The sequence below is a fragment of the Homo sapiens genome, chromosome 4 (assembly GCF_000001405.40).
Source record: "Homo sapiens chromosome 4, GRCh38.p14 Primary Assembly".
NCBI classification, from domain to species: Eukaryota; Metazoa; Chordata; class Mammalia; order Primates; family Hominidae; genus Homo; species Homo sapiens.
Genome location: NC_000004.12, coordinates 76,769,917 through 76,785,290, shown reverse-complemented (window position 1 = coordinate 76,785,290; position 15,374 = coordinate 76,769,917). Strand labels below are relative to the sequence as shown.

General features: G+C 41.8%; 1 protein-coding gene and 1 long non-coding RNA gene across 4 annotated transcripts in view, besides 7 other annotated features; one reads left to right on the top strand and one right to left on the bottom strand.

The window, feature by feature from the left end:
• Positions 1-15,374, top strand: part of SHROOM3-AS1 (SHROOM3 antisense RNA 1) — a 92,558-nt gene that overhangs the window by 17,173 nt on the left and 60,011 nt on the right. The gene's annotated exons all lie outside the window — the stretch shown is intronic.
• Positions 744-813: a silencer, noted in NCBI's record as "silent region_15492". NCBI's record gives its function as "represses an Ori minimal core promoter by ATAC-STARR-seq in GM12878 lymphoblastoid cells {active_cell/tissue: GM12878}" and the evidence as "EXISTENCE:reporter gene assay evidence [ECO:0000049][PMID:35858748]".
• Positions 864-913: a silencer, noted in NCBI's record as "silent region_15491". NCBI's record gives its function as "represses an Ori minimal core promoter by ATAC-STARR-seq in GM12878 lymphoblastoid cells {active_cell/tissue: GM12878}" and the evidence as "EXISTENCE:reporter gene assay evidence [ECO:0000049][PMID:35858748]".
• Positions 924-993: a silencer, noted in NCBI's record as "silent region_15490". NCBI's record gives its function as "represses an Ori minimal core promoter by ATAC-STARR-seq in GM12878 lymphoblastoid cells {active_cell/tissue: GM12878}" and the evidence as "EXISTENCE:reporter gene assay evidence [ECO:0000049][PMID:35858748]".
• SHROOM3 (shroom family member 3) overlaps positions 2,038-15,374 on the bottom strand; it is a 348,025-nt gene continuing 334,688 nt past the window's right edge. The window contains exons 10-11 of the mRNA NM_020859.4: positions 14,393-14,665; positions 2,038-6,482 (exon numbers count right to left, since the gene is read on the bottom strand). Coding sequence (NP_065910.3) covers positions 6,114-6,482; positions 14,393-14,665 — 642 coding nt within the window. The 3' untranslated portion in view covers positions 2,038-6,113. The remainder of the gene's footprint in view (positions 6,483-14,392; positions 14,666-15,374) is intronic.
• Positions 2,589-3,788: an enhancer, noted in NCBI's record as "P300/CBP strongly-dependent group 1 enhancer chr4:77702656-77703855 (GRCh37/hg19 assembly coordinates)". NCBI's record gives its function as "activates an origin of replication core promoter dependent on BRD2, BRD4, P300/CBP, MED14 and CDK7 cofactors, with strong dependence on P300/CBP, by STARR-seq in HCT116 cells {active_cell/tissue: HCT116}" and the evidence as "EXISTENCE:reporter gene assay evidence [ECO:0000049][PMID:35650434]".
• Positions 2,590-3,549: an enhancer, noted in NCBI's record as "H3K27ac hESC enhancer chr4:77702895-77703854 (GRCh37/hg19 assembly coordinates)". NCBI's record gives its function as "activates a minimal SCP1, AML or CMV promoter by ChIP-STARR-seq in naive H9 embryonic stem cells {active_cell/tissue: H9 hESC(naive)}" and the evidence as "EXISTENCE:reporter gene assay evidence [ECO:0000049][PMID:30033119]".
• Positions 3,061-3,355: an enhancer, noted in NCBI's record as "tiled region #8749; HepG2 Activating non-DNase unmatched - State 8:EnhW". NCBI's record gives its function as "activates a minimal TATA promoter and a strong SV40 promoter by Sharpr-MPRA in HepG2 cells {active_cell/tissue: HepG2}" and the evidence as "EXISTENCE:reporter gene assay evidence [ECO:0000049][PMID:27701403]".
• Positions 3,089-3,458: an enhancer, noted in NCBI's record as "active region_21631". NCBI's record gives its function as "activates an Ori minimal core promoter by ATAC-STARR-seq in GM12878 lymphoblastoid cells {active_cell/tissue: GM12878}" and the evidence as "EXISTENCE:reporter gene assay evidence [ECO:0000049][PMID:35858748]".

Genomic DNA, 15,374 nt, shown 5'->3' with positions numbered 1-15,374 from the left:
TGAGGTGAGATTCTTAATTTTTCTTTCAAATTAAAACAAACAAACAAAACACCTGGGCATGGTGGCTCATGCCTGTAATCCCAGCACTTTGGGAGGCTGAGGCAGGAGGATTGCTTCAGCCCAGGAGTTTGAGACCAGCCTGGGCAACATAGGGAGACCCCATCTCTGCCAAAAATATTTTAAAAAATTAGCCAGGTGTGGTGGCTCATGCCTGTGGTCCCAGCTACTTGGGAGGCTGAAGCAGGAGGATCGCCTGAGCCTGGGAGTTCGAGGCTGTGGTGAGCTATGATTGCACCACTGAACTTAATGTATAAATATGAATCATTTTGGGAATAAATGAACAGGAAAGTATGACAGTTGCAGATGTTGAGATAGAGAAAAACATATGTGGAGACACACCAAGAGAGACGTAGACACATACAGAGGTATACAGAGGCAGAGCTAGGCAGAGAGAGACCTCAACAGAAACAAACCTTAGACATGCTCTTAAATCGGCCTGAATCTAAATCTATTGATTTAGATACTTTGAGTAATATAGGTGTATGGAGCATGTTTAAAGAAAACATAAATGAGAAACTGCTTTCCTTTTGACACCTCCTTCAAGAGATATGTTGGCCATTTTATAGGCACTGTTTTATTATCTGAGAAATGGTTCTTACAGAATCAGCAACTATAAAATTACATGTGGTATCAGAAGATAATGCCAGGGTATATATGTAGAACAATGTGTCTGTGACGGCTATCAATTTATTGGCTCAGCTCTGGAATAACCCTTCAATCAAGTGTCTGTGTAATGGGCAGGGTCCTTTTAAGCATCTTTTACAGTCAGCACGATGTTAAGCTCTCTCCATAGGGGGTGCTGTTGGGGCCCTTTGTGGCTGCTGCCTTATGGGTCAGTGGTATGGGTGTGAGGACATCTGATGGAGTTCTCTTCCAACCACTGCCTACAATTGGTGGTGCCTTGGGACCTTGAAGCCTCATTCTGGCCATAACCTTCTCCTGGGCCTGTGGATTACAAACTTGAGCCCTGAAAGATTCCTGCTGCATCAGTGCCCGGAAGGCCTTCTGCCAACACTGGCTCCTCACTCTCTGAAGATCCTGTGAGGATCACCTGTGACCTGGAGGGTTCCCACTGGGCAGCCACGCCTGCTGCAGGCCCCCACTCTGTGCACAGCCAGGCTGTTGGTTGCTGGTGGACTGACCCAGCCTGCACTCTGGAGGGTTGCTTCCTATGCGCTCAGGGACTGCAGACCAGTTCCAGCCTGGGCAAACCAGCTAACTTCCCTGCTATGTGGGTCGAGTTCAGTTCTCCAAGGAGGTCTGAACCTCAGGCTTGGGACTCTTTCCCAGTTTGTCTTTCCTTGAGTACTCTTCCTTAGCTCTAGGGTACCAGAGAGAATTTCCTTATGTCCTATAGTCACTCGTTTATCAGAATTTAATAACTCTTTATATAAATATTTCCCCTGTTCAACCTACTGTAAAGCAATAGCAATACCAGTGTTTAAGCAAGAAATACAGCTGCCTTTCCACCTAGAGAATAATTTATAGAATGAAGTAGGAATCAATGAGCCAGTTTTTTCATTCACAACTTTCTTCTTGCCTAATTTTGATTTTAGAGTTTCAAAATTGGGTGACAGCTGCTTTCATTTCTCAAAGAAAATGAACACAGTCTTGTTTCATTAGCTAAATTGTCAAATCCACACCAAGGAGAGGTTCTAACTCATATGTAGGATAACATTTGTGATGAAGCAACAGGAATCTGATTCCCACTAAATCAGTAAAGTTCCCACTGAAAAGGCCAGTTGATTAATTTCAGTCAGGGCAGAACTTAAAATTACTGGCAATGTGTGATAAAACTGATTCCTTTTGAGGAAAAATAATTAGTGCAATTAAATCTGAATAAGTGCATAACTTGTTTAAAACAGATCTAAAAAAGAGTAAACAGGGAACAAAATCTGTATCACAACCTTGGGGATTATATAAAAGTAGTGGAGACAGTATAAACTTATATAGCTAATAGAATAAATATGACAGGACTTTCAACTTCTGAGGTTATTTTTATTTTTAAATTTAACTTCAATTTCTGTTTATTTAAATTTTAAAAATTATTCAGATTATTAAATTCATGTTAGTCTTATTGTGATCATAACAGTAGGAACTGTACAGATGATTGGTAGTGGCTCTCAAATGTTAAAATACATCAGAATAACATGGGAAACCTGCTGAAATGCAGTTTCCAGCAGACTTGGTTTTGTCATAGCAATTGGTATTTTTAACAAGCATTCCAAGGATTCTGATGCAGATCGTATCCTGACCACACTTTGAGAAACCATTATTTAGTTTCTGAATGAGCTCCCCATTAAGAAATGTGAAGTTTTATTTAAAAATTAATAAGACAACCCTTTCTGATATTAAAATGGTCTTTATCATTTTATCCTATGCATCCCAAAGAGTTAAGGCAGCAGGAAATACTTTGTTCCCGATAATATATTCCTGTGTAGAAAAGCCCCTTCACATTCACTTGACCACTTTTTATACCTTGTAGGAAATGAAGTTATTTCTGGCTGTAGTTATTCCTTTTTCTAATAGTAAGGTGAATAAAATTCATGTTGTTCTAAAAGGAAAATAATAACTCCAACCTAACAATGAAGCCAGCACTACCATGGACAATTAAACTGAAGAGAAGTAAATTTGGAACCACATAAGAATAAAAAGCCAACATTTCCTTGGGTATCCAGAGACCCAGTATCTTAATAAGAGATGCCTGAATAACATACAAGTTTAAAGGTAGAGCTTAAAGCATATATTTACCATTTAAACTCATGAATTATTTTAGATGAGATATTAACAGTGGAGGAATAGGAAAACTGGGATGTCCCAGGTTGTTTCTCCTTTATAGCTCCCTCAAAGGACCTCAGTTAAGCCCACACTCCTCACCTTAAAAGACAGCCACTGATTCTTAGGGGTGGACCCAAACTTGTTAATCTTCTAGTCTGGAAACCAGCTGTGCAAAACAAACCCTAAAATGTTCCCATAGAGCAAAGGAAAAGATGTTTGGTTTCGACAGCATCTGGTCTCATAGAGAAACTCAGGCACTTTCACTGTGGATCCTCCCTTCATTCTTTGGGGTTAAGTGGCCACCGCAAGAAACAAAACAGCATGAGAAATGGCTGAGTCAACCAACATGTAGTGACATGCCCAGGAACTTCTCAAGTGGCCCAGGAAGTGGAGGCCTCCTGATTTTCTCGCAGGACATTGTCCTTTCCTGGAACCTTGCGGGTGGCTGGAGTATCTGCATTTGGAGTATTGCAAGATTATCTCACCTGAGTTCTGACCAGAAGTGTATCTCCAAAATTATCACATCCACAAAGACAATTATTGACTGTGAGCAAACATTCTCAGTGACATCACGCGTATTCTGAAACCCTGACCAACAACATGCTCCTTACTGTTCTCATGGTCTTGGCAAAGGATACTGTTGGGAGAAAGAAGAATGGTTTCTACTGTAAATGAGTTTTTAAAAATAGTGGGAGAAGAATGCAAAATAGGAAAGGGATAAATACATAGATTTCTAGCTAAACGCATTTAAAAGGAAACTTTGAAAATTTGGTTAGTGATTTCTTTAAAGTACAGAGGTCAAGTCCTATTACAATAAATATCACATCCACCTAAAAATTAGATTTCAAAGTCTCACTTGGTGCCTTACCCATTTCACATAACAGAACAAAGTTTCCACATAATGAAAGAATGGACACAATCCTAGGAGTGTCACAAGCTTTCAGATGTTTGTGGCATGCCAAGCAGCATTGCCTGTTACTGTGCTGTGGGAGTCAATTACTTTTATGTCTATAAATTAGAAAAGTGGCTGGGTGAAGTGGCTCATGCCTGTAATCCCAGCACTTCTGGGACCAAAGCGGAAGGATCCCTTGAGCCCAGGAGTTTGAAACCAGCCTGGGCAACATAGCGAGACCCCCGTCTCTATAAAAAATCAAAAAATTAGCCAAGCATAGTGGTGCACACCTGTGGTCCCAGCTACTTGGGAGGCTGAGATGGGAGGATGGCTTGAGCCTCAGAGGTTCAGACTGCAATGAGCTGTTATCGCACCACTCTGCACTCCAGCCTGGGCAACATAGTAAGACCCTTTCTCAAGAAAATAAATAAAAATTTTTGAGAAAGACTGAATATGTAAAATGTTCCCCAGTCAAATCCCGAAAAATGGTCATCTCGAAGAGTGTTGGGAACTGGGAGCCCCCTGGATTCCTCTGAGGAATTTCACTAAGAATAACTGTAGACGTTTGCTGGCTGTCTTCCACCTGGCTTGGCTTGTGAGGGCTCATTCAGTATCAGCAAGACACACAGGTAGTTACTGATGGAGTTAATTTCAGGCTCCCATGTTGGCCTAAGACTGATGACCATGCAGTGTGGCTGTTGAATGCTGTCACTGGTTCTACTGCTTTCCTGGGAGACAGGACCTCTGAATGAAAACATCCCTGGGAAACCAAGGTGCTGTCTTATTTGTATCAATGGAGTCATGCAGTATATAAGCTCCAAAGAACAAAGCCATAGCTTTGGTTGACTATGCAAAGGAAACTTCTGGGTGGCCAGTTGTTTATAAGTTAATCAAAAGACATCTCTACTGGAGACCCAAACTACAATTTTGATATTCTTACATAGGAGATAAAACTTCATTAAGTAATGAAAATGTACTAAGGGGAGAAGGAGCATTTGGTTCCCTTGTCATTTTTTTTTTTTTTTTACTTCAAAATTTTACTCCCCCAATTTTCTAAGACTGGCTACTATGAAACTCGTAAGCCCAAATCAACAAAGGTGGCCACCAGCCACAGATCAAACGTGAAAAAACAAATCTACCTCTAGCACAGCCTGGGATGTACTACCTGCTCAAAGTATAAGGCTACTGCCATCTCCAGCAGCTGTAAACATAGCCTGGCTGCCAGCCCATAACCTCCTCAGCCTTCCAGTTTGTTTTTATAAGCTTACAACTGGGGCTACAGAGTAACCTCTGAAATGTTATTATTGAAACATGATAAAGCAAAATCAGTCTTCAGAGGTTAAGGAGGCAGTTTTTAATCAAAGTGTGGTCAACAGGTTTGACATTTTAGAAAACATTTTTTTTTTTTAAAGCATCATTAAAACAGCCTCAATAAACAGGCCGTATTTAGCCCAAATCTTGTTCAGGAGAACAGCATGGGCTCCGTTTGAATTTTGTTGGATTCTGGACGTCCTCCTCCTATTATATAGGTCTGAGAGTTGTCTTTGTTAATAAAATTTAGCTTTGTTTCCCCACCAGTGATAATGACATGAAGCACTAGGAAATGATGCAATAACCGCAGTGCATGAGGCCTTCCTCCTGGGGAAGGTGTGAGACAGGAGGGGAGCAGGACTCCCCCATACTCAGTCCAGTGGAAGCGCAGAATGCCTGCTCGTGTTGGTAAAAATAAGACAGGAATGTAAGAAAAAAAGTCTTCACGCTCAACGTGACTATCTTTGGAATTCATTTCATTAAGGTTTTCACAAAATACAAAGCTCAAACGTAATCATCTATGTCCACCACAAAACAGAATCAAATAAGTGGTTAGCACAACAAACATAGTGATCTTTTCCATTTTAAAAAATATAAATAACAATGTTCAAGGTTTTACAGTTTTCTTAGTGTGTGTCTTTTTAAGGCTTTATGTTGCAGACCCTTCATTAATGGTACTTGTACCCTGCCATCAGGATACACTGCCCACCAGCAAGGAAGGCCACTGTGGATACATTCCTGAGGGGGACACACACTGATCCATGTTGCCTCAGCCTGTTAAAAACTAAATGATCAAACACCCTCCAATCAGTTCTCAGTTTCATTAACTTTCTTTCTACTACAAAGTAATAATAGAAAGGGGTACGTGTCCAGCAGCATTCGAGCTCTCAGAAGATCAATCAGGAAGGGCAAGAAGGAAAAAGGCTTCCTCCTGGAGAGAATTTTTTTCCTTTCATCAGGAACAAACACCAATAACCCAGATAGTTCAAACAGTGGTTTGTACTGAAACATTTTTCAGATTAAATAGTGTTGAGAGAAACAGTGATCTTTTGGTTGGGTATTTTAGAAGAGGTTAAAGTGGAGAGGTTAATGTTGGGAAAATACCACTGAAAGTACAGCCCCCAGCAGGAATGGGCTCACTCGTGAGGTTTGGGGGCAGAGCCAGGGCCCCAGCCTTGGGAATGAAATCTGAGGGCAGGCTCTCCAGCAGACACTTGACCTGCTCCTGGCCCAGCTTGATCTTGTCATCCAGCTTCCGTTGCTCAATGAGGAGCGTGGACTTCATTTTCACGAAGTGCTGGTAGTCCTGGAGCTGCTCCTCTGAAAGGTAATTGGCCAAGATGCCCAGCACTACTCGCTCCCTGCGATCCAGGTTCTCCTTCAGCTCCCGGGCATCCTCATGCTGACCAGCCAGGATCTTCCTTTTCTCGTAAAGAGAGCTCTGCCAGGGAAAATTGGACAGATCAATGAAGGCCAGGGAAAGGGAGAAAAGAGCCAGACTCCCTGCAAGGACACCTCTGACAGGACTGGGAAATATCTAAGCTCTATTCCTATTGTCACTCCTAAGTAAGGAGGCTAACTTTTTGAAAATCAGATTATCCTTATATTACATATTACAGCATTCTCTAAATTGTAACATCATAGGATAGCTTCAGTTTGAGAGCTGTTACATTAAATTGGCTGGAGATAAAATTGCTTTCAGATTCTTGACTTTAAAAACCAATCATCAGCTGGGCTTGGTGGCTCACGCCTATAATTCCAGCACTTTGGGAGGCCGGGATGGATGGATCACTTGAGGCCAGGAGTTCAAACCCAGCCTGGCCAACATGGTGAAACCCCGTCTCTACTAAAAATACAAAAATCACCTAGGCATGGTGATGCATGCCTGTAATACCAGCTACTTGGGAGGCTGAGGCATGAGAATTGCTTGAACCCAGGAGGCAGAGGTTGCAGTGAGCCGAGATGTGCCACTGCACTCCAGCCTGGATGACAGAGTGAGACTCTTGTCTCAAAAAAAAAAAAAAAAATCATCAAGGTACCTTGAGTATATACATGAATACGGTGGTTCTCAAGGTGTGGTTGCTGGACCAGCAGCAGTGGCATCACCTGGGAAATTGTTAGAAATGCAAGGGTTCAGGCCCTCTTCCACCTCTTGAATAAAAAACTCTGGAGGTGAGGCCCAGCAACCTGTTTTAACAAGCCTTCCAGATGATTCTTTTGCGGCTAAAGTTTGAGAACCTCTCCCTAATCCATAATAGCAATGAGATCATATTTCCCATCTCTAAAGAAGCCAGTTTCCATTTTTTCAGTTCTCTTTTGCAGGCCTCTGATCCAAAATGAGAGAAATTCTGTTCAACAATGACGGCAATGTCATATTCTAAGAGTTTCTTATGCTTTTCTATGATATTGTAGCATATGTTATCTTTAATGTGGTTTTCTCTCCAACATGATCATTTTTAAATTAAAAAAATTATATTTAACCATTCAGACATTTTAGGCAAAGTAACTGAGGAGACAAACCCACAGCCAACATTATACTGAACAAGGAAAAGTTGAAAGCATTCCCCCTGAGAACTGGAACAAGACAAGGGTGCTCACTTTCACCACTGCTATTCAACATTGTACTAAAAGGTCTAGCCAGAGCAGTCAGACAAGAGAAAGAAAGAAAGGGCATCCAAATTGGTAAAGAGGAAGCCAAACTGTTGCTGTTTGCCAACGATATGATCCTATACCTAGAAAACCCTGAAGACTATCCAAAAAGCTCCTAGATCTAATAAATGAATTCAGTAAAGTCTCAGGATACAAAATCAATGTACACAAATAAGTAGCACTGCTATACACCAACAGCGACCAAGCTGAGAATAAAATCAAGAACTCAACCACTTTCACAATAGCTGCAAAAAAATAAAATACTTAGGAATATACCTAATCAAGGAGGTTAAAGACCTCTGCAAGGAAAACTATAAAACACTGCTGAAAGAAATCATAGATGACACACACAAATGGAAACATATCCTGTGCTCATGGATGGGTAGAGTCAATATTGTGAAAATGACCATACTGTCAAAAGCAGTCTACAAATTCAATGCAATTCCCATCAAAATACCGCCATCATTCTTCACAGAACTAGAAAAAACAATCCTAAAATTCATATGGAACCAAAAAAGAGCCCGCATAGCCAAAGCAAGACTAAGCAAAAAGAACAAATCTGGAGGCATCACGTTACCCAACTTCAAACTATACTACAAGGCCACAGTCACCAAAACAGCATGGTATTAGTGTAAAAACAGGCATATAGAGCAATGGAACAGAATAGAGAACCCAGAAATAAAGCCAAATACTTACAGCCAACTGATCTTCGAGAAAGCAAACAAAAACAAAGTGAAGAAAGGTCACCCTATTCAACAAATGGTGCTGGAATAATTGGTAAGCCACATGTAGAAGAATGAAAGTAGATCCTCATCTCTCACCTTACACAAAAATCTATTCAAGATGGATCAAGGACTTAAATCTAAGACCTAAAGCCATAAAAATTCTAGAAGATATATTTAACTGAAGGAAGGAAGTACATGTCTTAGTGGCTTCTAGTTTGAATTCATTTATATTAAGCGTCTACTGCTTCTTTTGCACAACAGAAATTAAACTCCACGGTTTTTGTAATTAGTCTTTCATTTTTCTCTTAGCCTAAAATAGCTAGATGGAAAGAAGACAATCTTCTAGGCATTGGCTTCGGCAAAGAGTTCATGACAAAGAATCCAAAAGGGAATGCAACAAAAACAAAGATAAATAGATAGGACTTAATTAAACTAAAGAGCTTTTGCACAGCAAAATAAAAACAGCAGAGTAAACAGACAACCCACAGAGTGGGAGAAAATCTTTGCAAACTATGTATCCAACAAAGAACTAATATCCAGAATCTACAAATAAATCAGCAAGAAAAAATCCCATCAAAAAGTGGGCAAAGGACATTAATAGACAATTCTCAAAAGAAGATGGACAAATGGTCAACAAACGTGAAAAACTGCTGAACAGTTCTATCAGGGAAATGCAAATCAAAACCACAATGCAATACCACCTTACTCCTGCAAGAATGGCCATAATCAAAAACTAATATATGTTGGCATGGATATGGTGAAAAGGGAACACTTTTACATTGCTGGTGGGGATGTAAACTAGCACAACCACTATGGAAAACAGTATGGAGATTCCTTAAAGAATGAAAAGTACATCTATCATTTGATCCTGCAATCCCACTACTGGGTATCTATCCAGAGAAAAGAAGTAATTATATGGAAAAGAAACTTGCACACCCATGTTTATAGCAGCACAATTTGCAACTGCAAAAAAGGGAACCAGCCCAAATGCCCATCAATTAACAAGTGGATAAAGAAAATGTGGTATGTGTGTATATATGTATGTGTGTGTGTGTGTGTATATATATAGTATGTGTGTATATATATGTGTATATATGTGTATGTACACATATATATGGTGTGTGTATATATATAGTATGTGTATATATGTGTATATACACATATACAAATATGTTATGTATATATACACACACACACATTTTCTTTATTCACTTGTTAATTGATGGGCATTTGGGCTGGTTCCCTTTTTTGCAGTTGCAAATTGTACTGCTATAAATATGAGTGTGCAAGTGTCTTTTCCATATAATTACTTCTTTCCTCTGGATAGATACCCAGTAGTGGGACTGCTGGATCAAATGATAGATGTACTTTTAGTTCTTTAAGGAATCTCCATACTGTTTTCCATAGTGGTTGTACTAGTTTACATTCCCACCAGCAGTGTAAAAGTGTTCCCTTTTCACCACATCCATGCCAACATGTATTTTTTTTTATTGCCATTCTTGCAGGAGTAAGGTGGTATCACATTGTGGTTTACACACACACACACACACACACCCCATGGACTACTACTCAGCCATAAAAAAGAACAAAATAATGGCATTTACAGCAACCTGGATGGAGTTGGAGACCATTATTCTAAGTGAAGTGACTCAGGAATGGAAAACCAAACGTTTTATGTTCTCAGTTTTAAGTGGATGCTAAGCTATTGAGGATGCAAAGGCATAAGAAGGATACAAAGGACTTCGGGGACTCAGCGGGAAGGGTGGGAGGTGGGTGAGGGATAAAAGACTACACATCGGGTACAGTGTACAGTGCTCGGGTGATGGAGGCACCAAAATCACAGAAATCGCCACTAAGAATTTATCAATGTAACAAAACACCACCTGTTCCCCAAAAACCTATTGAAATAAAAAAAAAGTGATTGTGGAAAATTAAAATGAAAATCAATCAAGAAATAAGATCACTTAAGTATACCTCAATACAAAATAGCTTATGTAGGGTTATCAAAGACTCATGTGTCTTTGCCCTAAATCCCCCTAAACTAGCCTGTCACATCTTACATAATAATGCCTGGGGGAAAAGTGAAGAATTACAGGCTTATTGGCATAAGTTTCCTTTCCCTAAGCAGAAAAACATACCTTAAAAAAAAAAAAAACAAAAAAAAAACCCCAAAAAACCCTGAGGGACTGAATTTGAATGAGGATGCCTTTCAAAGTATCATTGAGATGTAAGTTAAAAAATTGAGAATTTTTTCATCACCTACCTTAAAAAATATATAAAATATTTTAGACATCAGTAATGTATAAAGAATCACTCTGTGTACCTATCATTAATGGTGCCAAATCTTAATATGAACACTTTTTTCATATTGGCTGCAGATTAAAAAAATTTTTTTTAGAGATTCAGTTAAAGCCTTATAGATACTCCTCCCCAATCCTGGTCTTCACTACTCCCCATTTGGTAACTATTTTTCTTCCTTTTCTCATTTCTACTTATAGTTTTAGTTTCTTAACAAAGACCAATCATGATAAAAAAACAATACTGCTATAGTATTTTTTGGGTGAGCAAACTTACTTGTATTTAAGAGTGCAGGCATGCATGTAAGTGTTGAATTTAATTCGGTTCTAAAACAATTTATCTTGCCCTAACTAGAAACTGCTCCAGTCTTTCTTGTCTCAGATATCTAGAGCATTCATCCAGGTGGCCCAATAGGAAACTTGGAATTATTTTCTGCTCTACCCTTCCCCTCATCTAACATGCCCCTTGCTAATACAAATTCATTCTCTAATTTATCCCCTCTTCTCTACCCCCAGGACAATTGCCTACATCAACAGCATAAACCCTCCTTGTTTAGACTATTAAAATGAGCCTCCCAACTGTTATTTTAACATCAATCTTGCCCCTCCCCAGGCTGAGTAAGTCACAAAGTTAGTTCATGACTCTTCCCTACCTATAGGCTGAAGTCTAAAGTCTAGTGTATGACTGTGGTAAGGTCTTTGTGATGATTTTCTGTGCTGGATATTGTGTCTGCCTCTCCAGGTCCACTCTTCTCTGCCCTGTGCTGAAGGAAGCTGAACTCTAGGGGTTGCATCCACTGGGCTCCCTTGCTGTCTGGGTTTGACCAAGGGGAGTGATGGAAAAGAGACTGGAGAGTGCGAAAAGAAACTGTGGCATGTATCCCTGGCTGCCTCTGTGCCAGGCTTCGAGTTGGTGGCAGTTGCATTCTTTTACCAGGGCCTCAGTGCTATAGGGCAGCTGCAGCTATGGTTCTGATCAGGGCTCCCTTCTCCTTGTCCCTTCAGAAAGAGGCCCATAATGGCTTTGCTGCTGATGCTATAGCTCTGGGTGAGGGACAAGGGGCGAGCCCTCATTACCCCTTCCTGGTTTCCCCCTTAATCCTTCCCACACCTTCTTTGAACTTTCTTCTTTATCTCTTTTGATGGGGCCATGTACTTTCTGTCAGTTTCTAATATTCCCATAGCTCTTTTTTTTTTTTTTTTTTCTGAGACAGTCTTGCTCTGTCACCCGGGCTGGAGTGCAGTGGTGTGATCTCGGCTCACTGCAACCTCCGCTTCCCGGGTTCAAGCAATTCTCCTGCCTCAGCCTCCTGAGTAGCTGGGATTACAGGCACCCGCCACACACCTGGTTAATTTTTGTATTTTTAGCAGAGAGGAGGTTTTGCCATGTTGGCCAGGCTGGTCTTGAACTCCTGACCTCATGATCTGCCCCCCTTGGCCTCCCAAAGTGCTGGGATTACAGGTGTGAGCCACTGCACCCAGCCTTAGCTCACTATTTTTAAAAACAAAACCAAGCAATCACTGTATGTTCTAGACATACCAAACCACATGCAAATCAATTCTTAAACATGGCATCTCTTTCTTGACTTTGTCTATGGTATTTCTTCTAAATGGTGAGGCCCTTCCCCTCTCAGTCCTCTTAGAATTAAGAGGTTCTTCTAAACTGTATTCATGTGTCACTGCGTGAAGTCCTTCCTGCCTTACGCTCCCCCACCTGAGAAGTGTTTGGTGGCTGAGTTTCTCATTATGCTCAGCACCAGCACACAATTGCTCCTCCATACTGCTTTCCTCCATAAGTTGTGAGTTCCTGGAGAGCAGGGCCTGTGTTTTAGTCAGCATTTGTCCCCAGCAGACACAGCACCTCATATTTGACAGGCTACTGTTAGCTGTTTGTCGAGTGGAAGAAAGGAGGACAGGACACACTTCTGAGTTAGGTAGTATCAGACTATTTCTAGATAAGGAAGCTGACTCAGCACATTTACACGAGGAAGATGCTGAGAGTGGCGCTGCAGAGTTCCTAAATGCTGAGTCACTTTCCTAAATGTTTAGGATCCAGACTTTTTCTAATCCTTTTAAAATCTATTTGAAAAAGGACCTCTTTCCTTTTAATGCAATGTATTAGGAGAAATTATTGGAGAATTCATGAGAGCAATGAAAAAGAAAGATGGTATGGTAGGCTGGGCATGGTGGCTCACGCCTGTAACCCCAGCACTTTGCGAGGCCAAGGCAGGTGGATCACCTGAGGTCAGGAGTTCGAGACCAGCCTGGCCAATATGGTAAAACCCCGTCTCTACTAAAAATACAAAAATTAGCTGGGCATGGTGGTGCGCACCTGTAATCTCAGCTACTTGGGAGGCCGAGGCATGAGAATGGCATGAATACGGGAGCCAGAGGTTGCAGTGAGCTTAGATTGCGCCACTGCACTCAAGCCTGGGTGACGGAGTGAGACTCTGTCTCAAAAAAAAAAAAAAAAAAGAAAAAGAAAAAAGATGGTAGCATAGGCAAGAAAAGGAGCCCCTCTTCACGGCTGGAGTAGTTTCCATCTTCTAGCATGTATATACACATACACACACATACTGTGTGCACATATATATAAAATAATTGTGTCTACTGTTTGTTGTTCAGTATCAGGAGGGTAGGATCTGTCTGCTTTGCTCACAAATGTATCCCATGTGCCTAGACCACTAAGTGACACACGCTAGACCCCCAGTAACTATTTGCCGTACAGAGGAGTGGATGAAGAATGCTCTATAGCTCTGGAATTCTGTTCAATGCGGTGATACAACTTGGAGTCTGCAGTAGGACTCCTCCTATCCTAGCTCCCTCACTGGGCTGTTGTGAGGATTCCATGAGACTGCGCATAAGCTCACAGTGCCTGACAGGTGGAAGCTCTTGGTGAATTGTCTCCAGTGGGGTCAGCACTGTTACCTGTCCCCCTGTACCCTCCCTTCGAGGAGGGGGTGCAGTGGAGACACCCTGGTGCGTCCTCACTGAGTGCCTGTGGCCCCTCATGTGAGATGCCCTGGAGCCTTAAGCCTATGTTCCTGCCCCCTCCCTGTTTTAATGTATTCATGATGTTTTTATCTTTTTGGGAAAGAAAGGAAGGAAGACAGTTGGGAGGAAAGAAACTCTGGTGCCTGTGGTTCTTACTTTCCCAAGAATTCCATGAGCCTTAAGTGTCAGCAGTACAGCAGTACATCTTTTTTTTTTTTTGATGTGGTCGCCCAGTCTGGAGTGCAGTGGCGTGATCTCGGCTCACTGCAACCTCTGCCTCCCGGGTTCAAGCGATTCTCCTGCCTCAGCCTCCTGAGTAGCCGGGATTACAAGCACGCACCATGGTGCCTGGCTAATTTTTGTATTTTTAGTAGAGACAGGGTTTCACCATGTTGGTTCACCATGTTGGCCAGGCTGGTCTTGAACTCCTGACCTCAGGTGATCCGCCTGCCTTGGGCTCCCAAAATGCTGGAATTACAGGTATGAGCCACCACGCCTGGCCAGCATTATATCTCAACACAGAAAATGCCTTCTCTGTTTCTTGGTTACCTATACATGTATTCTCTCCCTGCCCCAAAGAGATTGCCACAAATCTTCCTGAGAGAAAGGATGGCGTCTAATGGCGCCTCTCTATGTATGTGGGCTTTGAGGGAGAACTTGTTGAACTGCATCACTAGGCCACCTACCCTTTCTTCATTACTGGCATCTTCACCAAGGCCGCTAAGGACATTCTCAACACGGGCTAGACGCCCCGAGAGGGAGAGCAGCAGGTTGACCACCTTGTCCAAATCCCCTATGAACATCCTATACTTGTCAAACTCATTGGGCTTGCAGAGCTCGCTGATCAGAGCCTCCACCTCTTCTCCCAGGGCGTTGTTGAGCTTGATGTCCGTGAGCAGGCTCCCCTTCGCCTCCTGGAGGGTCTCCAGCTTGTGGGTGAGACTTCCAATGAGCTCAGCCTGAAATGACAGATAAGACCGCAAAGATCAGCCAACAGGAGGTGCCAGTGGAAGCAGAAGTCACCTCCCCCAGCCACCTTCTGTCATCTTCAAGGCTCAGCTGAATATCCTCCCCCTTCTCTATATGGAGTGTCCCCCAATATTATGCCATAATAGCCTTCTTTCCCTAAGGGTCTACCATTGCCTTTCTCTAAACCTCACACACCAACACTTGATTACACACAACCTTGTAATGTTTTCCATTGTGTCATGCTATGTACAGCTTTGTCTTCTGTTTTTTTTTTTTTTTTTTTTTTTTTTTGAGACAGAGTTTGGCTCTTGTCACCCAGGCTGGAGTACAATGGTTCAATCTCGGCTCACTGCAATCCTCTGCCTCCTGGGTTCAAGCGATTCTCCTGCCTCAGCCTCCTGAGTAGCTGGGATTACAGGTGCCCACCACCACGCCTGGCTAATTTTTGTATTTTTAGTAGAGATGGGGTTTCATCATGTTGGCCAGACTGGTCTCGAACTCCTAACCTCAAGTGATCCACCAGCCTCAGCTTCTCAAAGTGCTGGGATTATAGGCATAAGCCACTGTGCCTGGCCAATTACTCATTTTTAAAAGTCCTTTTAAGACATGTTCTCATTTGATCCTCATGACAATACTATGGGTAAGTAGGCAGGTAGAGTAAACAGTATTCTTATTTTACAAATAGGCCAAGAGTCAGAG